General features: G+C 35.4%; 1 protein-coding gene across 7 annotated transcripts in view; it reads right to left on the bottom strand.

Moving 5' to 3' along the window:
* FNDC3A (fibronectin type III domain containing 3A) overlaps positions 1 to 16936 on the bottom strand; it is a 234489-nt gene that overhangs the window by 58201 nt on the left and 159352 nt on the right. For all 7 annotated transcript variants that reach the window (NR_103528.2, XM_017020440.3, NM_001079673.2 and 4 more), the window contains 3 exons: positions 14978 to 15247; positions 12774 to 12832; positions 5644 to 5801 (listed from right to left, as the gene is read on the bottom strand). Coding sequence is in view for 6 of the 7 variants with exons in the window: in XM_017020440.3 (XP_016875929.1) it covers positions 5644 to 5801; positions 12774 to 12832; positions 14978 to 15247 (487 nt within the window). In the remaining variant the exon portion in view is untranslated. The remainder of the gene's footprint in view (positions 1 to 5643; positions 5802 to 12773; positions 12833 to 14977; positions 15248 to 16936) is intronic.

Raw genomic sequence — 16936 nt, 5'->3', positions numbered from 1 at the left:
AAAACAAAAAGAAACAAAAAACTTTCTACTTAAAAGACACAAACTCACTGAATGAATTAAAAAATGTGACCCAATTATATGCTGTCTACAAGAAACTCATCTCACCTGTAAAGATACATACAGACTGAAAGTAAAGGGATGGAAAACGATAATCCATGCAAACAGAAACCAAAAGTGAGCAGGAGTAGCTACACTCAGATAAAACAGACTTTATGTCAAAAACAGTAAAAAGAGACAAAATCATTATATAATGATAAAGGGATCAATTCAGCAAGAGGATATAACAATTCTAAACATATATGTACCCAACACTGGAGCACCCAGAAATATAAAGCAATTATTGCTAGATTTAAAGGGAGAGACAGACTCCAATAAAATAATAGTTGGGGACTTCAACCCCCCACTCTCAGCATTAGACAGATCATCTAGACAGAAAATTAACAAAGAAATTTCATTGTATTTAAATGGCACATTAGACCAAATGGACATAACTGACCTTTGTGAATACATTTCATCCAAAGGCTACAGAAAACACATTCTTCTTTACAACACATGAAACATGAAACATTCTTTAGGGTAGACCATATGTCAGTACACAATACAGGTCTCAACAATTTTTTTTTTTTTTTTTTTTTGAGACGGAGTCTTGCTGGGTTGCCAGGATGGAGTGCAGTGGTGCCATCTTGGCTCACTGCAACCTCTGTCTCCCAGGTTCAAGCGATTCCCCTGCCTCAGCCTCCCGAGTAGCTGGGACTACAGGCGTGCACCACCACACCTCGCTAATTTTTTGTATTTTAGTAGAGACGGGATTTCACCATGTTGGCCAGGATGGTCTTGATCTCTTGCCATCGTGATCTGCCCACCTCGGCTTCCCAAAGTGCTGGGATTAGAGGTGTAAGCCACCGTGCCCGGCCTCAAGAAATTTTAAAACACTGAAATTATATCATATATTTTCTAATAACTTAATAGAATAAAACTAGAAATCAATAACAAGAGGAACTCTGGAAACTGTGCAACTACCTGGAAACTAAACAACATGCTCCTGAATGACCACTGGTAGAGGGACAAATTAAGGAAGAAATAAAAAAAAAATTCTTGGAACAAATTAAAATGGAAACACAAAATATTAAAACCTATGGGATACAGCAAAAGCAGTGCCAAGAGGGAAGTTTATAGCAATAAATGTCTACATTAAAAAGCTTAAAGAGTCTAAATAAACAATCTAGCAATGCACATCTCAAGAACTACAAAAGCAAGAACAAACCAAATCCAAAATTAGTGGAAGAAATAATAAAGATCAGAGCAGACAGCCAGGTGCAGTGGTGCAGATCAGAGCAGACAGCCAGGTGCAGTGGTGCACACCTACAGTCCCAGGTACTTGGGAGGCTGACGTGGGAGGATCACTTGAGCCCAGGAGTTTGAGTCCAGCTTAGGCAACATCGCAAGATGCCATCTCTAAAACAAATAAAAAATCAGAACAGAACTAAACCACCACCTAGACTAATCAAGAGAAGAAGAAAGGGGACCCAAATAAAATCAGAAGTGGAAAAGGAGACACTACAACTGATAACACAGTTACAATCATCAGAGACTATTATGGACAACCTACACCAACAAACTGAAAAATCTGAGGAAGTGGACAAATTCCTAGATACATACTACCTACCAAGATTCAATCAGCGAGAAATAGAAAATATGAACCAACCAATAACGAGTAATGAGATTGAATCAGTAATAAAGAGTCTTCAAACAAAGAAAAGTCCAGGACCAATGGCTTCACTGACAAATTCTACCAAACTTTTAAGGAACACCAATTCTCCTCAAACTATTCCAAAAACATTGAAGAGGAGGGAATTCTCTCTAACTCATTCTACAAGGACAGCATCACTCTGGTACCAAAACCAGATACGGACACAACAAAAAAAGAAAAGTACAGACTAATCCTTGATAAACACGGACACGAAATCCTCATCAAAACACTGGCAAACTGAATTCAACAGCACATTATAAAGACAATACACCATGATCAAGTGGGATTTATACCAGGGATGCAAGGATGGCTCAACATACACAAATCAATAATGTGATACACCATATCAACATAATGAAGGACAAAAATTATATGATCATCTCAATAGATGTAGAGAAATTTTGATAAAATTCAGCATCCCTTCATAAAATCTTTCAACAAACTAGGCACTAAAGGGACATACCTCAACATAATAAAGACCACATATGACAGACCCATAGCTAACATCATACAGAAAGGGGAAAGTCTAAAAACCTTTCCTCTAAGAACTCGAACAAGACAAGGATGCCTACTCTCACCACTCCAATATGGTACTGGAAGTCCTAGCCAGAGCAACCAGCCAAGAGAAAGGAATAAAAGGTATTCAGATTAAAAAAAAAAAAAAAGTCAAATTGTCCTTCTTTGTAGATGACATGATCTTACATGTAGAAAAATCTGAAGACTCCACCAGAAAACTCTTGGATCTGATAAATAAATTCAGTAAGTTGCAGGATATAAAATCAAAATACAAAAATCAGCATCATTTCTATACACTAATAATAAACTAGCTGAGAAAGAAGCCCAAAAGGCAATCACATTTACAATAGCTACAAAAGAAAAAACACCCTAAGAATAAATCTAATATAACAGGTAGAAAGATCTCTACAAGATAAAACTATAAAACACTGATGAAAGAAATTGAAGAGAACACAAACAAATGAAAAGACATCCATTGCTCATGTATTCAAAAAATTAATACCATTAAAATGAACATACTGTCCAAAGCAATTTATATTCAATGGAATCCCTATCAAAATACCAATGTCATTTTTCACAGAAATATAAAAAGTGATCCAAAAATGTCTATGGAACCAAAAAATAGCCTGAATAGCCAACGCAATCCTAAGTAAAAAGAACAAAGCTGGAGGCATCACTCTACCTGACTTCAAAATATACTGCAAGACTATAGTAATCAAAACAGCATGGCATTGGTATAAAAATAGACACAAGAACTAAGGAACACAATAGAGAAGCCAGAAATAAATTTATAGCCAAATGACTTTTTAACAATGGTGCCAAGAACATACACTGGGGAAAGGATACCCTTCTCAATAAATGCTGCTAGGAAAATTGGATATCCACCTGCAGAAGAATGAAACTGGACTGTATCTCTCATCTTACATAAAAATAAACACAAGAAGGCTTACAGACTTAAATGTTTAAGACCTGAAACTATGAAATCCTGGAAGAAAATATAGAAGAAACACTTCAGGACACTGGTTTAAGCAAAGATTTTATGCTAAGACCCCCAAAGCACAGGCAACAACAAAAAAAAGAAAAATAGAGAAATAAACTAAAACTTTTGCACAGCAGAGGAAACAACCAACACAGTGAAGACACAACCCTCAGAAAGGGAGAGAGTATTTGCAAACTATTCATCTAACAAAAGACTAATATCCAGAATATACAAGGAATTCAACTCAACAGGAAAAACACAAATAATCCCATTAAAAGTGGACAAAGGACATGAATAGACATTTCTCCAAAGACATACAAATGGCCAACAGGTATATGAAAAAATACTCTACATCATTAGTCAGGGAAATCCAAATCAAAATTACAATGAGATCATTTTACCCTAGTTAGAATGGCTACTATTACAAAGACAAAAAAATAACAGATGCTGGTGAGGATGCAGAGAAAAAAAGCCCTTATACACTGTTGGTGGAATGTTAATTAGTACAACCAATATGGATACAAGTGTGGAGATTTCTCAAAAAATTAAAAATAGAAATATCATACAAATGAGCAATCCCACTACTGGGTATTTTTCCAAATAGGGGAAAAATCAGTATATTGAAGAGATGTGCTTTTCCCACATTTACTGCAGCACTATTGACAAGAGCAAAAATATAGATCAACCTAAGTGTCCATCAATGGATGAATGGGATAAAGAAAATGTGGTATATATACACAACAGAATATTATTTGGGTATGTAGCCGCAAACCAGCCTATTCCCTACTTTTTTTTTTTTTAAACTTAAAATCACGATTCCCTATTTCATTTCCTTCCACCAAGTCTCTCTCCTCTCCACTTTATGGACTTCTTTCCATTCCCCACCCCTTACCTCCCAGCTACTCTATTTCTCAAATCAAGGCCAGTAAATATGATGAAAAATAAATATGTTTCAAGGCTGAAAGTACATTTTAATGAACTGGGCAGTTGCAGTAGCATCCTTAGAGACCTTAATTCCTGTAGGATATGGGAGATGACTAATGCCCCCCTCGTGCTCCCTGGTCAGGCTGCAAATGGAAATAAAGCATTCCTCTTAGTAAGCAGCCATATATAACTAAAAAACAGTCATTAACATAGTAAGAAACCTTTATGTTGATAGTCCTTTATCCCCTACTTACCCCTTAGGTTTACTTGTCTCTCTTAAGAAAAATGAATAGAACACAAGGAAATCTCAATAGAGAGGAAACAGGAAATTTTTATAACCTTATGTAACTAGATGAGAGGCACCGGAGCAGTTTCACTTTCCTTTCTTCTCCTTGCCAGCTATGTTTTGAAAAAAGATAGCAACAAGGCTGATGGAGCCAGTGTTCTGTGCTAATTGTGATCATTCAAATGATTAACCATCACCTTTACAGTCTTCTTGGTGCTTAAATAATAACTAACCATTAACATTACCCTTTTTTATTAGAATAATCAACTTCTATATGAATATGGACAGAATAATTTATTTCAAAACTGTCAATCATAAATGTCACAACTTTAGCTACTGAATCTTTCTAAGGCTTCGTGGTGCGTAATATACTTTTATTTTTTTCTTGAGATGGAGTCTCACTCTGTCACTCAGGCTGGAGTGCAATGACGCGATCTTGGCTCACTGCAACTGCCACCTGCCAGGTTCAAGCGATTCTCCTGCCTCAGCGTCCTAAGTAGCTGGGACTACAGGCATGTGCCACCACCCCTGGCTAATTTTTATATTTTTAGTAAAGACGGGGTTTCACCGTGTTGGCCAGGCTGGTCTCGAACTGCTGAACTCAGGTGATCCACCCGCCTCAGCCTCCCAAAGTGCTGGGATTACAGGCGTGAGCCACCGTGCCTGGCTGTGTGTAATATACTTTTAAACCAAGGAAAGAAATACGTAAGTTTTCAAAATATGACTATAAACATACTAACATGCAAATAAATAACAGTGCTACTAAATTCATTTTACAACAGGACATGAGCTTGTACATGTAAGAATTAAATCCAGTCCTTAGAGGAGCAATGTCATACTTTATGAGTTTACAATCATGAATTGTCCATTTTTGGTCATGGGTTCTACATACTACAACTTATATTTAATGCATTAAGAATACGTGAATACTGAACCATCTATTAGGGAGCCTACTGGGAAAAAAAAAGCTGAATGTGGCCAATAAAAGTGATTATTCTGAAGGAAGGTAGACAGAAATGTGTACCAAGCTACATTTGGACCATTTACATTGAAATCACTATCATTAGCCAACTTAAAGATTCAGAATAAAAGCGTGAAGAAGGAAAAGTAGAGCAAAATTAGTAATAAGCTCTTTATAATAAACCATTAATTTACACAATGGGAGAAAGCAAAACAACAAATACCTACACATATACACTTTTGTATTTCCCATCTTTTCCAGTACTTGAGATCAGAACTTCATAACCATAGAGCTCTGGTACACTACTTTCATCTGTTTCACCATTAATGAGGCTGGAAGGTGGTGACCAGGTAAGTACTACTGTCCTTGCCTGGATGTCGGAGGCCTGTAAAAATACAACATTTAAAAGTTCTTTAAAACAACTGTAATGTATACAATGAGCAGTGAAATATCTAATGAGGTTTCAAGATTAAATAAAATGTATCTGTTTATATAGATAAAATGGCTCACAAATATAAACCTGCCCATTGCAAATAATTTGTTGTGGGTTCCACAACAAATGAGATGGGTTCCACAAAAGTTTAAAAACCAGGCCATTCAAAACTATTAGCGTAGACACCATACATAGTCAAAAGAAAAAAACTGGGATTAAAAAGACCATTGTAACATGTTTGAAAGGGTTCATTTCCTCAGCTTAGAAAATGTTTTTACAACAGGAGGATGACAAAAACTCAAGAGAAAAATGAGCAAAGGACATCGACATCCAAAGATATGTAAATATAAATGGACAACATATAAAATGATGTACGTGTGAAACTGCATTCATAAATACATGTAAATTAAAACAGAATCCCAGTTTTCATCTACTGGATAGGGGAAGATTAAAAAGCTAATACTATCTAGTGTTAAAAACTTGGAGAAATGGCACTCTCTAAGTGTGGTAACAGTATATGTAAGTTCAATCCTTGTGTATAGCAACTAGTGAATCATTATAAAATGTAAGATGTGTTTACTTTTTGATTCAGAAATTCTACATCCAGGAATTTTTTTTCAGGGTAATATCCTATAAACTTAACATATGTATACAAATATACACACTTAAGAATGTTCATTGCAGCATTATTAATGGCAAAAAACTAGAACTATAGGGCACTGACTACCTAAATGATGGTACATAACACAGCCTATGAACATATTATTCTGCAAGTGCTCAAAAAAGAACATGAGGTGGACATACATGCGCTAACATCTGAAGATTTCCTCAATATACAGGTGCTACGTAATAGGAGAAAAAAGTGAAGCTGGAAAGCAGTACATACACTGTGATTGCAGTTGAGTTAGCTTTTATAAAACTGTACAAAAATGTCTGAAAATGTACTGTACAAATGTACCAATTGTTATCTTTGGGGATTTTGTGTAAGTGTGGTGAGACGCAGAGAAAGTTGTGACAGAAAAAAACATGTGGTTTCAATTATGTTTTATATATTTTTATACTACTGGAATAATTTTATGAGTACAAGTTACTTTTGTTAAAGCGAAAAAAATCTAGAGATTAGATAAGGTTTACAGATTGGTGAGAAAGGTACCAGATTATATGTAGGCATTTATATAAAAGCTTGCTTTAAAATTATATATGTTTAACAACTACCTTAGCATTTCTAAAACCAAACTAATAACCACTAGGATGACAATTACTCCTATCTTGAATTAAAGTAAAATTAAGTAATCTCCATAAAATTGTAACATTCTGTCCTTTTCAAAGTTCTCGAAGTCTGAATAAAAAAAACTATTACTATATTTATTTTGCTTCTGTTAAATCACAGGAAATGTAATACTGTATTCACTCTAATACTGTCTTAAAGTCTTGGTACTGTGTTTCATTTACAATGAACTTAAAAATGATTCTTTGTATGATCCAGTATACAGCTGGCTATTAACTTGAAACTGAGCAGGTTTTTTTTTCTTTTTTAAAACAAACTGCTACTATACATGTATGTATACCCATAAGTGTCTCTTGATTTTATGGGATGATAATAGTTGTGTTAAACTTTGAGAACGTGAATAGGACTATGAAGGTGGGTCAGTCAAAAGCATTAACTGGCATCTACTTTATTATTATTATTATTATTAGTAGTAGTAGTAGTAGTAGCAGTAGTAGTAGTAGTAGTAGTAGTAGTAGTAGTAAAGATGGGGTCTTGCTATGTTGCCCAGGATGGTCTCGAGCTCCTGGCCTCAAGCCACCCTCCCGCCTCAGCCTCCCAAAGTGTTGGAATTACAGGTGTGAGTCACTATGCCCAGCCTGGCACCTACTTTATGAAGCTTGCTTTATCAGGATCTGTGGGGAGTACAGACAGTAGAGAAAATATTAAATAGGGAAGCACAAGATGTGTCACTAATTTGCCTGGTGATACTGAAGTCTCACCCTCTTAGGGTTCTAGGCCTCATCAACAAAATGAGTGGCTGAGTGAAATGAACTGTTTACCAGAGTTACACAAATAAAGTATTTTTAAAAGTCTTTTATTTGGAAATAAATTTAGGTTTAAAGAAAAGTTGGGAAGATAGTATGGAATCCCTGTCTATCCTTTACCCAGCTTCCCCTAATGTTAAAATCCTATATAACCATGCATTTTTGTCAAAACTATTAATATTGGTAAATACTATTAACTAAGCTTTTAACTATACTTTTAACTAAACAGACTTCCAGAATACTATGTTGAATTTAGCAAACATAGTTTTAAAAATAAATTAAAAAAATTTTAAAATGCTAATTTCAACTTAAAAAATATTATTATTATTTTTTTATTGAGACTGGGTCTTACTATTGTTGCTTGGGCTGGTTGCGAACTCCTAGGCTCAAGCGATCCTCCTGCCCCGGCCTCCTAAAGTATTGGGATTAGAGGTGTGAGCCACTGCACTGGGCCAATTTCAACTTTTTCAATTTCTGCTTTTCCAGAAAATCTTTTAGTACTAACTCATTCTATTAAAAAGATCTTATGGCTGGGCACAGGGGCTCATGCCTGTAATCCCAGCACTTTGGGAGGCCGAGGTGGGCAGATCACCTGAGGTTAAGAGTTCAAGACCAGCCTGGCCAACATGGTGGAACCCTATCTCTACTAAAAATACAAAAATTATCTGGACGTGGTGGTGTATGCCTGTAATCCCAGCTACTCAGGAGACTGAGACCCAAGAATCACTTGAACCTGGGAGGCAGAGGTTGCAGCAAGCTGAAATCATGCCACTGCACTCCAGCCCTCCAGCCTGGGTGAAAGAGCAAGACTCTGTCTCAAAAAGAAAAAGCTATCTTATTACTTGCACTTATATGTTAAGTCACAGAAAGAGTGACTACATTGGGATAAGATGTGGAAAACTTCATAAGTGAATTTTGAATTGAATCTTAAAGAACTTGGATGAGATAAAATTTGGTAGAAAGAGGTGGGTAATTAGTACAGGAATGAGTATTTATATTCCAAAGCTTATAACTGAAATCTGGTAGTCCAAGGCATGTTCATATGTATTTTTAAAATCTTCTAAAAATGCTGTTTTCTGTTGCTGGTTTCAGGTGAATTATAGAGTTGCATAGAAGAAAAAGAGATGGACTCCCACATAGATACCACAAAATTCCTGTGTGAAGACTGAGGTAGTAATTGTGTGTGTATGTGGAGTGGTAGGGGACAGTGGGGAGAGTGGATCCTATAAACTTATAGTGAAATAATAAAGCTGGAGTACTAATCTAGCATGGGGAGAATGAAAGGTAAAGAAGAAATGTAAGATGATACTGTAACCCAGGAAAACCTGGATGGGTAAGTGTTTACCGACGGAAACAATGAAAGGAAACAGAAACGAAAGAGATCTAACCCAATTCCTTCTTCATTTTACAGGAATGAAGAACGTGATAAAATAGTATAGACAAGCAGATTAAGAATTTGGTTTTCTAAAGTTGCTAGTGAAACATTCAAACTTGGGTATTCTTTAGCGTGCCTCAGGAGATACAGTTCTACATGAACAGATTAGTAATTAGGATCGAAAATATAGATTTGGAAGTAATTTGAACTCTATTTGTATGCTAATGTTAGAAGTAAAATTTGCTTTTATATCCATATCACTTGATTCTTACAACTACCACCTAAAGTAGGCAAAATAGGCTTAACTATCTTCATTTTGTGAAAGGAGCATATTCAGAAAGATTAAGTAACTTGTCTAGAGGTCACAGAACCATTGACTAGGACCTGAATAATTCAGTTATTTTCCTACTACTCAATGATCCCACTCTGAATCCACTTCTAGGTGGTAGCTGAAAATAGGTATGATTGTGTAAAAATCTGTCTAAGAACTGATAAAGATGGTAACAGGAAAAAATGAAAATAGCTCCTTTAGAAAGTGGCTAGATTATGTACAATATATTTTTTGAGGCAGATTGTGATCCTTGTAAGGTAGTCATCAAAACTACCCTTGAGAAAAACTGTCCATTGGGTTAAATTAAGTATATATCTAGGAAGCTAAACTGTTAAAAGAGTTCAAAGCCATATATATTACATGAATTTTGACAAAGACTGTAGAAGAAAGAAATGAGAGTATCTAATTTCTGGATTTCCAGAAATACTAAAGTAGAATAAACATAAATGTTTGATCCTTGTCTAGATAAGGGCATCAGGAGGTGAGAGAATAATTCTGAAGATAACTCAAAGGCTGAGCCTAAGGAAACTTGGAGTTAGATAGTACTTCTAGTAACCACAAAAAGGTAAAGGGAAGGGGTAATGATTCTGAAAGCAAAAAGGTAATGAGTAAAAGGCATGACACATTTAATTTTAAGCATTACTGAAATAAAAGGAAATGAAATCCACTGAAATAAATGTCAGTAGATTTTCACAGAAATGAGACTGAGAACAATTTCAAAGAAGAACAAATGAAAAGACAACACTTTCAATATAGTTAATTATTTCATGCATGTGAGGGTATACAATACCATTATTCTCCATTTTCTGAAAGAAGAAACATTCACAAAGGTCAAGTGACTTGTCATGGGTCACTCAACTCCTAAGTACACAGTTGAGACTATGAGACTTGTGCATGTACCACATTCTCCCCTATACACTGCACTCTGGTCACATGAGTGAGCTTTTCTCTGCTTTCCTTTTTTTTTGTTGTTCCTCAAATGTGCCATGTCCAGTGCTTTTCAAATGCTGCTCAGTTTGCAATACTGTTCCCACACTTTCCACCCCTGTCCTCAATGCCCAACCACTACTTTTCCTTCAAATGTCAGTACAATAATCCTTCCTTAGGAAAACTTCCCTGATTCCTTGTCAAGGTTTAGTCCTCCTATTACACACTCTGACTGCTCTCTATCTTTTTGTCCTGGCACTTCACCGTTACAATTTAACATTCATTGTGTGATGCTTAGTTTACTGAACTAAGCCTTGTGGCAGAGCCCGTGTCTATCCTTTGCTTTCCATTCTATCTCCAGCTTTAGCACAACATCTGTCACTTTGTAAGCGGTAAAATATTTATGGAATGAAAAAGTGAATGAACACATTTAATTTAGTGCTCTAAATGAACTAGAGCATGCAAAAACAACCACACACACAAAAACAAGCAAGCAAAAACCCTGACCTGCACTTTGTAGCTCACAATTAATTTAATCAAAGAGGAATCGGCATTCAAACTATAAACTAAAACAAAGCAAATAAAACCATCAGCATTACTTTATGATACAGGGCTCACTATCTTATTAAACTACATGTTCTTCCTAATGTTGAGTAAGAAAGTCTTTGAATTGGCTTTAAGATTTACTTTTCCTGTCTGTAAATTATATATATATTTATTTATTTATGAGACAGGTTCTTGCTCTGTCACCCAGGCTGGAGTGAAAAGGCACAATCTTAGTTCACTGCAGCATTGAACTCCTAGGCTCAAGGGATCCTCCCACCTCAGCATCCCAAGTATCTGGGACTACAGGTGTGTGCCCCCTTGGTCTGTAGTATCTGTATTTGTTTTTTGTAGAGACGAGGTCTCAATATATTACTCAGGCTGGTCTCAAACTCCTGGCCTCAAGTGATCTTCTTGTCTTGGTTTTCCAAAGGACTGGGAAAGTGTGAGCCACTGCACCTGGCCTGAAAATTATACTTTTAATATATACTACAACAAGTAAATGCTACTAGCATTAGCTATTAAATCACTCAAACATCAATCTTATTAAGCCTACTAAATTCTTTTTCTAGTAAACCTAGTGATATACACTTGGGGTCTTGGAAGGATACTGCCTAAATTTCAGTCATAGCTCTACTACTACTAATTGAAACTCACTGTTGCTTCAGTTTCCTCATTTGTAAAGCAGGGAAAATAGTACATATATGGTTGTCACAGGTATTAAATAATGCACATGTGCATTCCAAGCACTCTGAACAGAGACTGATGCTAATCAATTTGTGTTAACCATTACTATGAAATAATTGTGTAAATTTACATTTATTTACACATATATGCTCTATTCTCAAGAGAAAACAGATTAGAATAAAGAAAGCTAGAGCAACCAAATCTATTATTTGGGAGTTGTCAGAAAAAGTAGGACCATATTAGTCTATTAGATGAGGAACTGGCTTACTCAAACATCCTAAAACATGGCAAGATAAGCTTAAAAAGCCTTTATGGAGATGGTACTAAGAATAATAACTTTTCTAATCTGTTTTCTCAGAAAAACAAAGTATTTTTGGGGCAACTTAGTATAAAACATTTTACCATGGATGTTTCTGAGAGTTGGGAAAGAGTAGTTTGTTTTATGAACCAAAAAATATTCTTATCAATCTTAAATTGCCTTATTCTGGCTGAAAAAGTCCTATGGCCTACTTCTTCCACCACATCTTTCTCCCCTTCACTATACTCCAGTGATAATGGTTCTTTCCCTCTGTCCAACTCCCCATGCTTACTTACACCTGTTCTCCCTCTCCCATTCCTTCCACTTTTGCACTTTTTCTCACTTGTCAGAGAAAGCTTCCCTGATTGCTCTATTTAACCTAACAACCTCTCCTATTAATCTCATCATATCATTCCTATTTCTATAATAGCAATCTTTACTATCACACAGAATTCTGTTTGTGCATTTGTTTTTTATTTATTGGCATATAGTAAGGGATCAATAAATATTTGATGAATGAATGACAAAACTATGTAGCTCTTCAAAGAATCAGGTAATGACATAGAAAGATAGCTAAAGCATACCATAGTGAGTGAAAAAGCTTGTCACAGAATACAGTATGATCCTATTTTCATAAAAAGTTAAAAGAAAAAAACTACATTTTGATGGATGAACATCTTATGCTAATATATTAAATATAAACATCAATAAAATACATAAGATACTTACCACTGGTTTGACAATGTTGGAAAGAAGTGCTTCAAATGCTTTAGTTTCTTCATCTTTTTCTTAAAAAAATAAAACATTTGAATATTTAAAAAAAAGAACTTAGATACAATCCCTTCTTCTCCCTAAATATGTATTCTGAAACTAGGTTGGTATTTGAGACTTTTATTTTCTAGTTTTTATTCCTTTGTTCATACTCAGCAGTTTGTGGCCCTTCAGCATTTATCTACTTTAGTTTTTATTTCTATCTTAACTGTGACTACTAATTATAACACCACTATATACAGATATATCTATATATATTTAGACATAGCTATATCTATCTGAACCAAATTTTTCTTATATCAAGTATATTTTTATTCATGGTTGTAAGAATATTCTCTCTGGAAAGTTCTCATTTGTCAATCTCATACCTCTTAATAAAGTTAACTATTTTTTCATGACATGCCTTAGTTATGGTTTCCCAAATTAGAAATATAATTGGCTTGACTGTAACTTATAGCCACCACTGATAGGCAAAAAACTTTAACTTAATTTCTTCTGAAACATCAGTGCTGAAAACGATGATCAGGTCTCAAATAAATGGGAGAACATTTATGTAAATGTTGTTAATATATAAGTCATGAACAGTTAAGACATTATTTGAAATTTGTTAGTGAGGCATGGAAATTTTAAGGAAAAGGAAGGTAGGAAGAGTTCACATGGCTTACATTTTGATATTTCCCTCAAAGTTGGAAGCATTTTAGTTCCTAGTCATATATTAATTACCTACACTATTTGATAGTAAATATCAATTTAGATAAGCATATTCAAGGACTGATAGAGTTGTGGTTATTGGTGCTTGTGAAATGACATGTTGGTATGGTTCATAGTCATTTCTGATGAAACCTTTAGAACCTGACATGGTCTACCATGCATATCTATGTATTTCTACATACGCATATCTACGTCAAACAGATAATAGTCAGTATTAAGGAAACCTAAAAGAACATACATATAGAAACTACATTAATCAAAGTAAGCAGTAGTTACAAGCTTAACATTACAATCAAAAGTACTGGGTACTAACTCCACAACTGTAGGCATATGAAAGACAGGCTGTTAACCCAGCTATATTTTACCTTATAGAGATTGATTCAAGTATATACAAATAATAGTGCTCAAAGTCCATATAGTAGGCTCATGCCTGTAATCTTAGCACACTGGAAGGTCAAGGTGGGTGGACTGCTTGAGCCTAGGAGTTGGAGACCAGCCTGGCCAAGATGGTGAAACCCTGTCTCTACTAAAAATACAAAAAGTAGTTGGGCGTGGTGGCATGCGCCTTTAGTCCCAGCTACTCAGGAGGCTGAGGCACGAGAATCGCTTCAACACAGGAGGCGGAGGTTGCAGTGAGCTGACATTGCGCCACTGCATTCCAGCCTGGGTGACAGAGCGAGACTTGGTCTCAAAAACAAACAAACAAACAAAAACCAATAAAACAAAGTTCATAGAGTAGAAGTCAGAGGTTAGGGGAAGGATCCAAGAGTAACAAGGAGAGTTTAGGAGAAAAGAACTTTTGAAGAAAGAAATGAAAAATACTCTATCCTAATTACAGAGTATATAGAGAGATTAGTAAATGATATAACTATTTGCTATCAAGGTTTTACTCAAAAAGAAGGTGGGAGAAATAAAAAGTTTTGATAGGTTGGGGACAGTGGCTCAGGCCTATAATTGCAGCACTTTGAGAGGCCAAGATGGGAGGACTGCTTGAGCCCAGGAGATCGAGACCAGCATGGGCAAAACAGCGAGACCCTGTCTCTACTAAAAATTAAAAAATTAGCTGGGTGTGGTGGTGTATGCCTGTAGTTTCCAGCTGCAGTTATCTATGATCGTGCCACTCCAGCCTGGGTGACAAAGCAAGACCCTGTCTCAAAAAAAAAAAGTTTTGATTAAAAACCAGCAGCATAGCCTTATCAAACGCCCAGAATCAGAAGAAAGGAATCTGGATTAATGTTCTCTGAGTTTTCCTATCAAATAGAAATTTCAGTCAGTAAAATTTACGATATAGATGAAATTACTAATTGAGGCTTTCCAAACTGTCGAAAGCAGCAGCCTGTAACAGTCTATTTGGACCATGACAAAATGACTGAAAGGTTAGAATATACTTTTAGTAGGTTAAATCACGAGAATAGCATCAATGAGAACAGTTCAGTACTTCAAACAGTTACCTTCAATTTCTGTATCAACTTGTGTACCACCTTTCCCCTTCCCAGACTTGATTTTTGCTGATCCTGTGTTTATACCACCAGCAATTTGTCCTTTTATAAGTCCATTATGTTCATTAATGGGAGAAGGGCATTTCTGGGGTGATGATGGTGGACTGCTCATTTTATCTTTCTGTGTTCCTTGGCGATCCTTCAATTTTTTCTGCAAACGTTCATATGTTTTACTAGATCGTTCATCTCTAAAGTTGGACCTTCCATGTGTAGAGTGAGCATCTAGGAGGCAATAAAAACAAAATGTTAAGAAGATCACTTTCTCCAAATAAGTTTATGCCATGAAAAAAGAACAGAAAATAAATCTATCATATAAAACTTTTATAAAATATTTAAAAGAATTTTGCATAACAAAGCAACCTTTGTGTCTCCATAAACTATCAGAACCAAGCTTTGTGATTTATTCTAATTATATATATCTCTCTCTCAAGTAAATTTACAGAGAGATTTATTTCCTTCTGTTCTCAACTAATTATTAATCTCCATAGAAACAGCTTGGTGGTAACTTATGATTATTGTAGGTGAGGAATGAGACTGGAGCTGAGCAGTCCACAGTTCTTTTTCTTTTACTCTTTAGTAACTATTACTTTTCACATCTTTTTGAACCTTAAACACATAAAATAGGTAAAAAGAAAACCACTGCCTGCCTAAATTCCCTTATAACTCAAAAAAGCAATCATCACTGAAAAAAAGTTAGCCAAAAGAAATGATTTAGACTGTTTAACAATAACAATCTACATATAATGTATCTTCAGATACTATAAACTCAAGGTTGTGATTTAGAAGAATCCACTCATTCTAATAAAAGTCACATAGGAACATAATTAAGTCATTATGCTCAATAAATATTAATTCAATTGTCCCCAGAGTTTTTTAAATTTAAAATTTGTGATGAGAAAAATATTTTTTAAAAGCCTCAGTAAAAAGTTTTAATTTAGCAGTGCCTTAAGAAAATTAGTACAGTATTTTTGAAATGAGTATTATAAGGATATGTACAATAACATTAGAATGAACGTGGACCTCTACCTCACACCATATACAAAAATTAATTCAAATGAATCAATGACCCAAATGTAAGAGATTAAACTATAGAACTCTTAGAAGAAAACACGTCTCTATGACCTTGGATTTGGCAATAGTTTCTTAGACGAGACACCAAAAACACAAGCAATCAAAGAAAAAATTAGATTTCATCAGAATTAAAAACTTTTCTGCACTAAAGGATACCACAAGGAAAGTGAAAAAACAACAAGGGAGGAAATCATATATCTGATAAGGAACTTGTATCCAGAATATATATACTCTTACCTTTCAACAATAAAAAGACAAATATCCCACCCATTTAAAAAATGGGTGAAGAATTCAAATAGACATTTCTCCAAAGAAAATATATGAATGGGGCTGGGCGCAGTGGCTCACGCCTGTAATCCCAGCACTTTGGGAGGGTGAGGCAGGTGGATCACAAGGTCAGGAGTTCAAGACCGGCCTGGCCAAGATGGTGAAATCCCATCTCTACTAAAAATACAAAAAATTAGCCGGGCGTGGTGGCGCGCACCTGTAATCCCAGCTATTCGCGAGGCTGAGGCAGGAGAATCATTTGAACCTGGGAGGCAGAGGGCAGAGGTTGCAGTGAGCCGAGATCATGCCACTGCACTCCAGCCTGGGCGACAGAGCGAGACTCTGTCTCAAAAAAAAAAAAAAAAAAAAAAAAAGAGTGAAACTCCATCTCAAAAAAAAAAAAAAAAAAAAAAAGGAAAAGAAAATATACAAATGGCCAATAAGCACATGAAAAGATGATCAACATTAGTAGCATTAGGGAAAAGCAAATCAAAACCATAATGAGAGAGAAATTTATTCAGGATGCCTACAATCAAAAGACAGACGATATCAAGTTTTGGCAAAGAAATTGGA

Source organism: Homo sapiens, chromosome 13 (genome assembly GCF_000001405.40).
Source record: "Homo sapiens chromosome 13, GRCh38.p14 Primary Assembly".
NCBI classification, from domain to species: Eukaryota; Metazoa; Chordata; class Mammalia; order Primates; family Hominidae; genus Homo; species Homo sapiens.
Note: the sequence above shows the minus strand (reverse complement) of the source record. Positions and strands in the feature narration are given on the sequence as shown.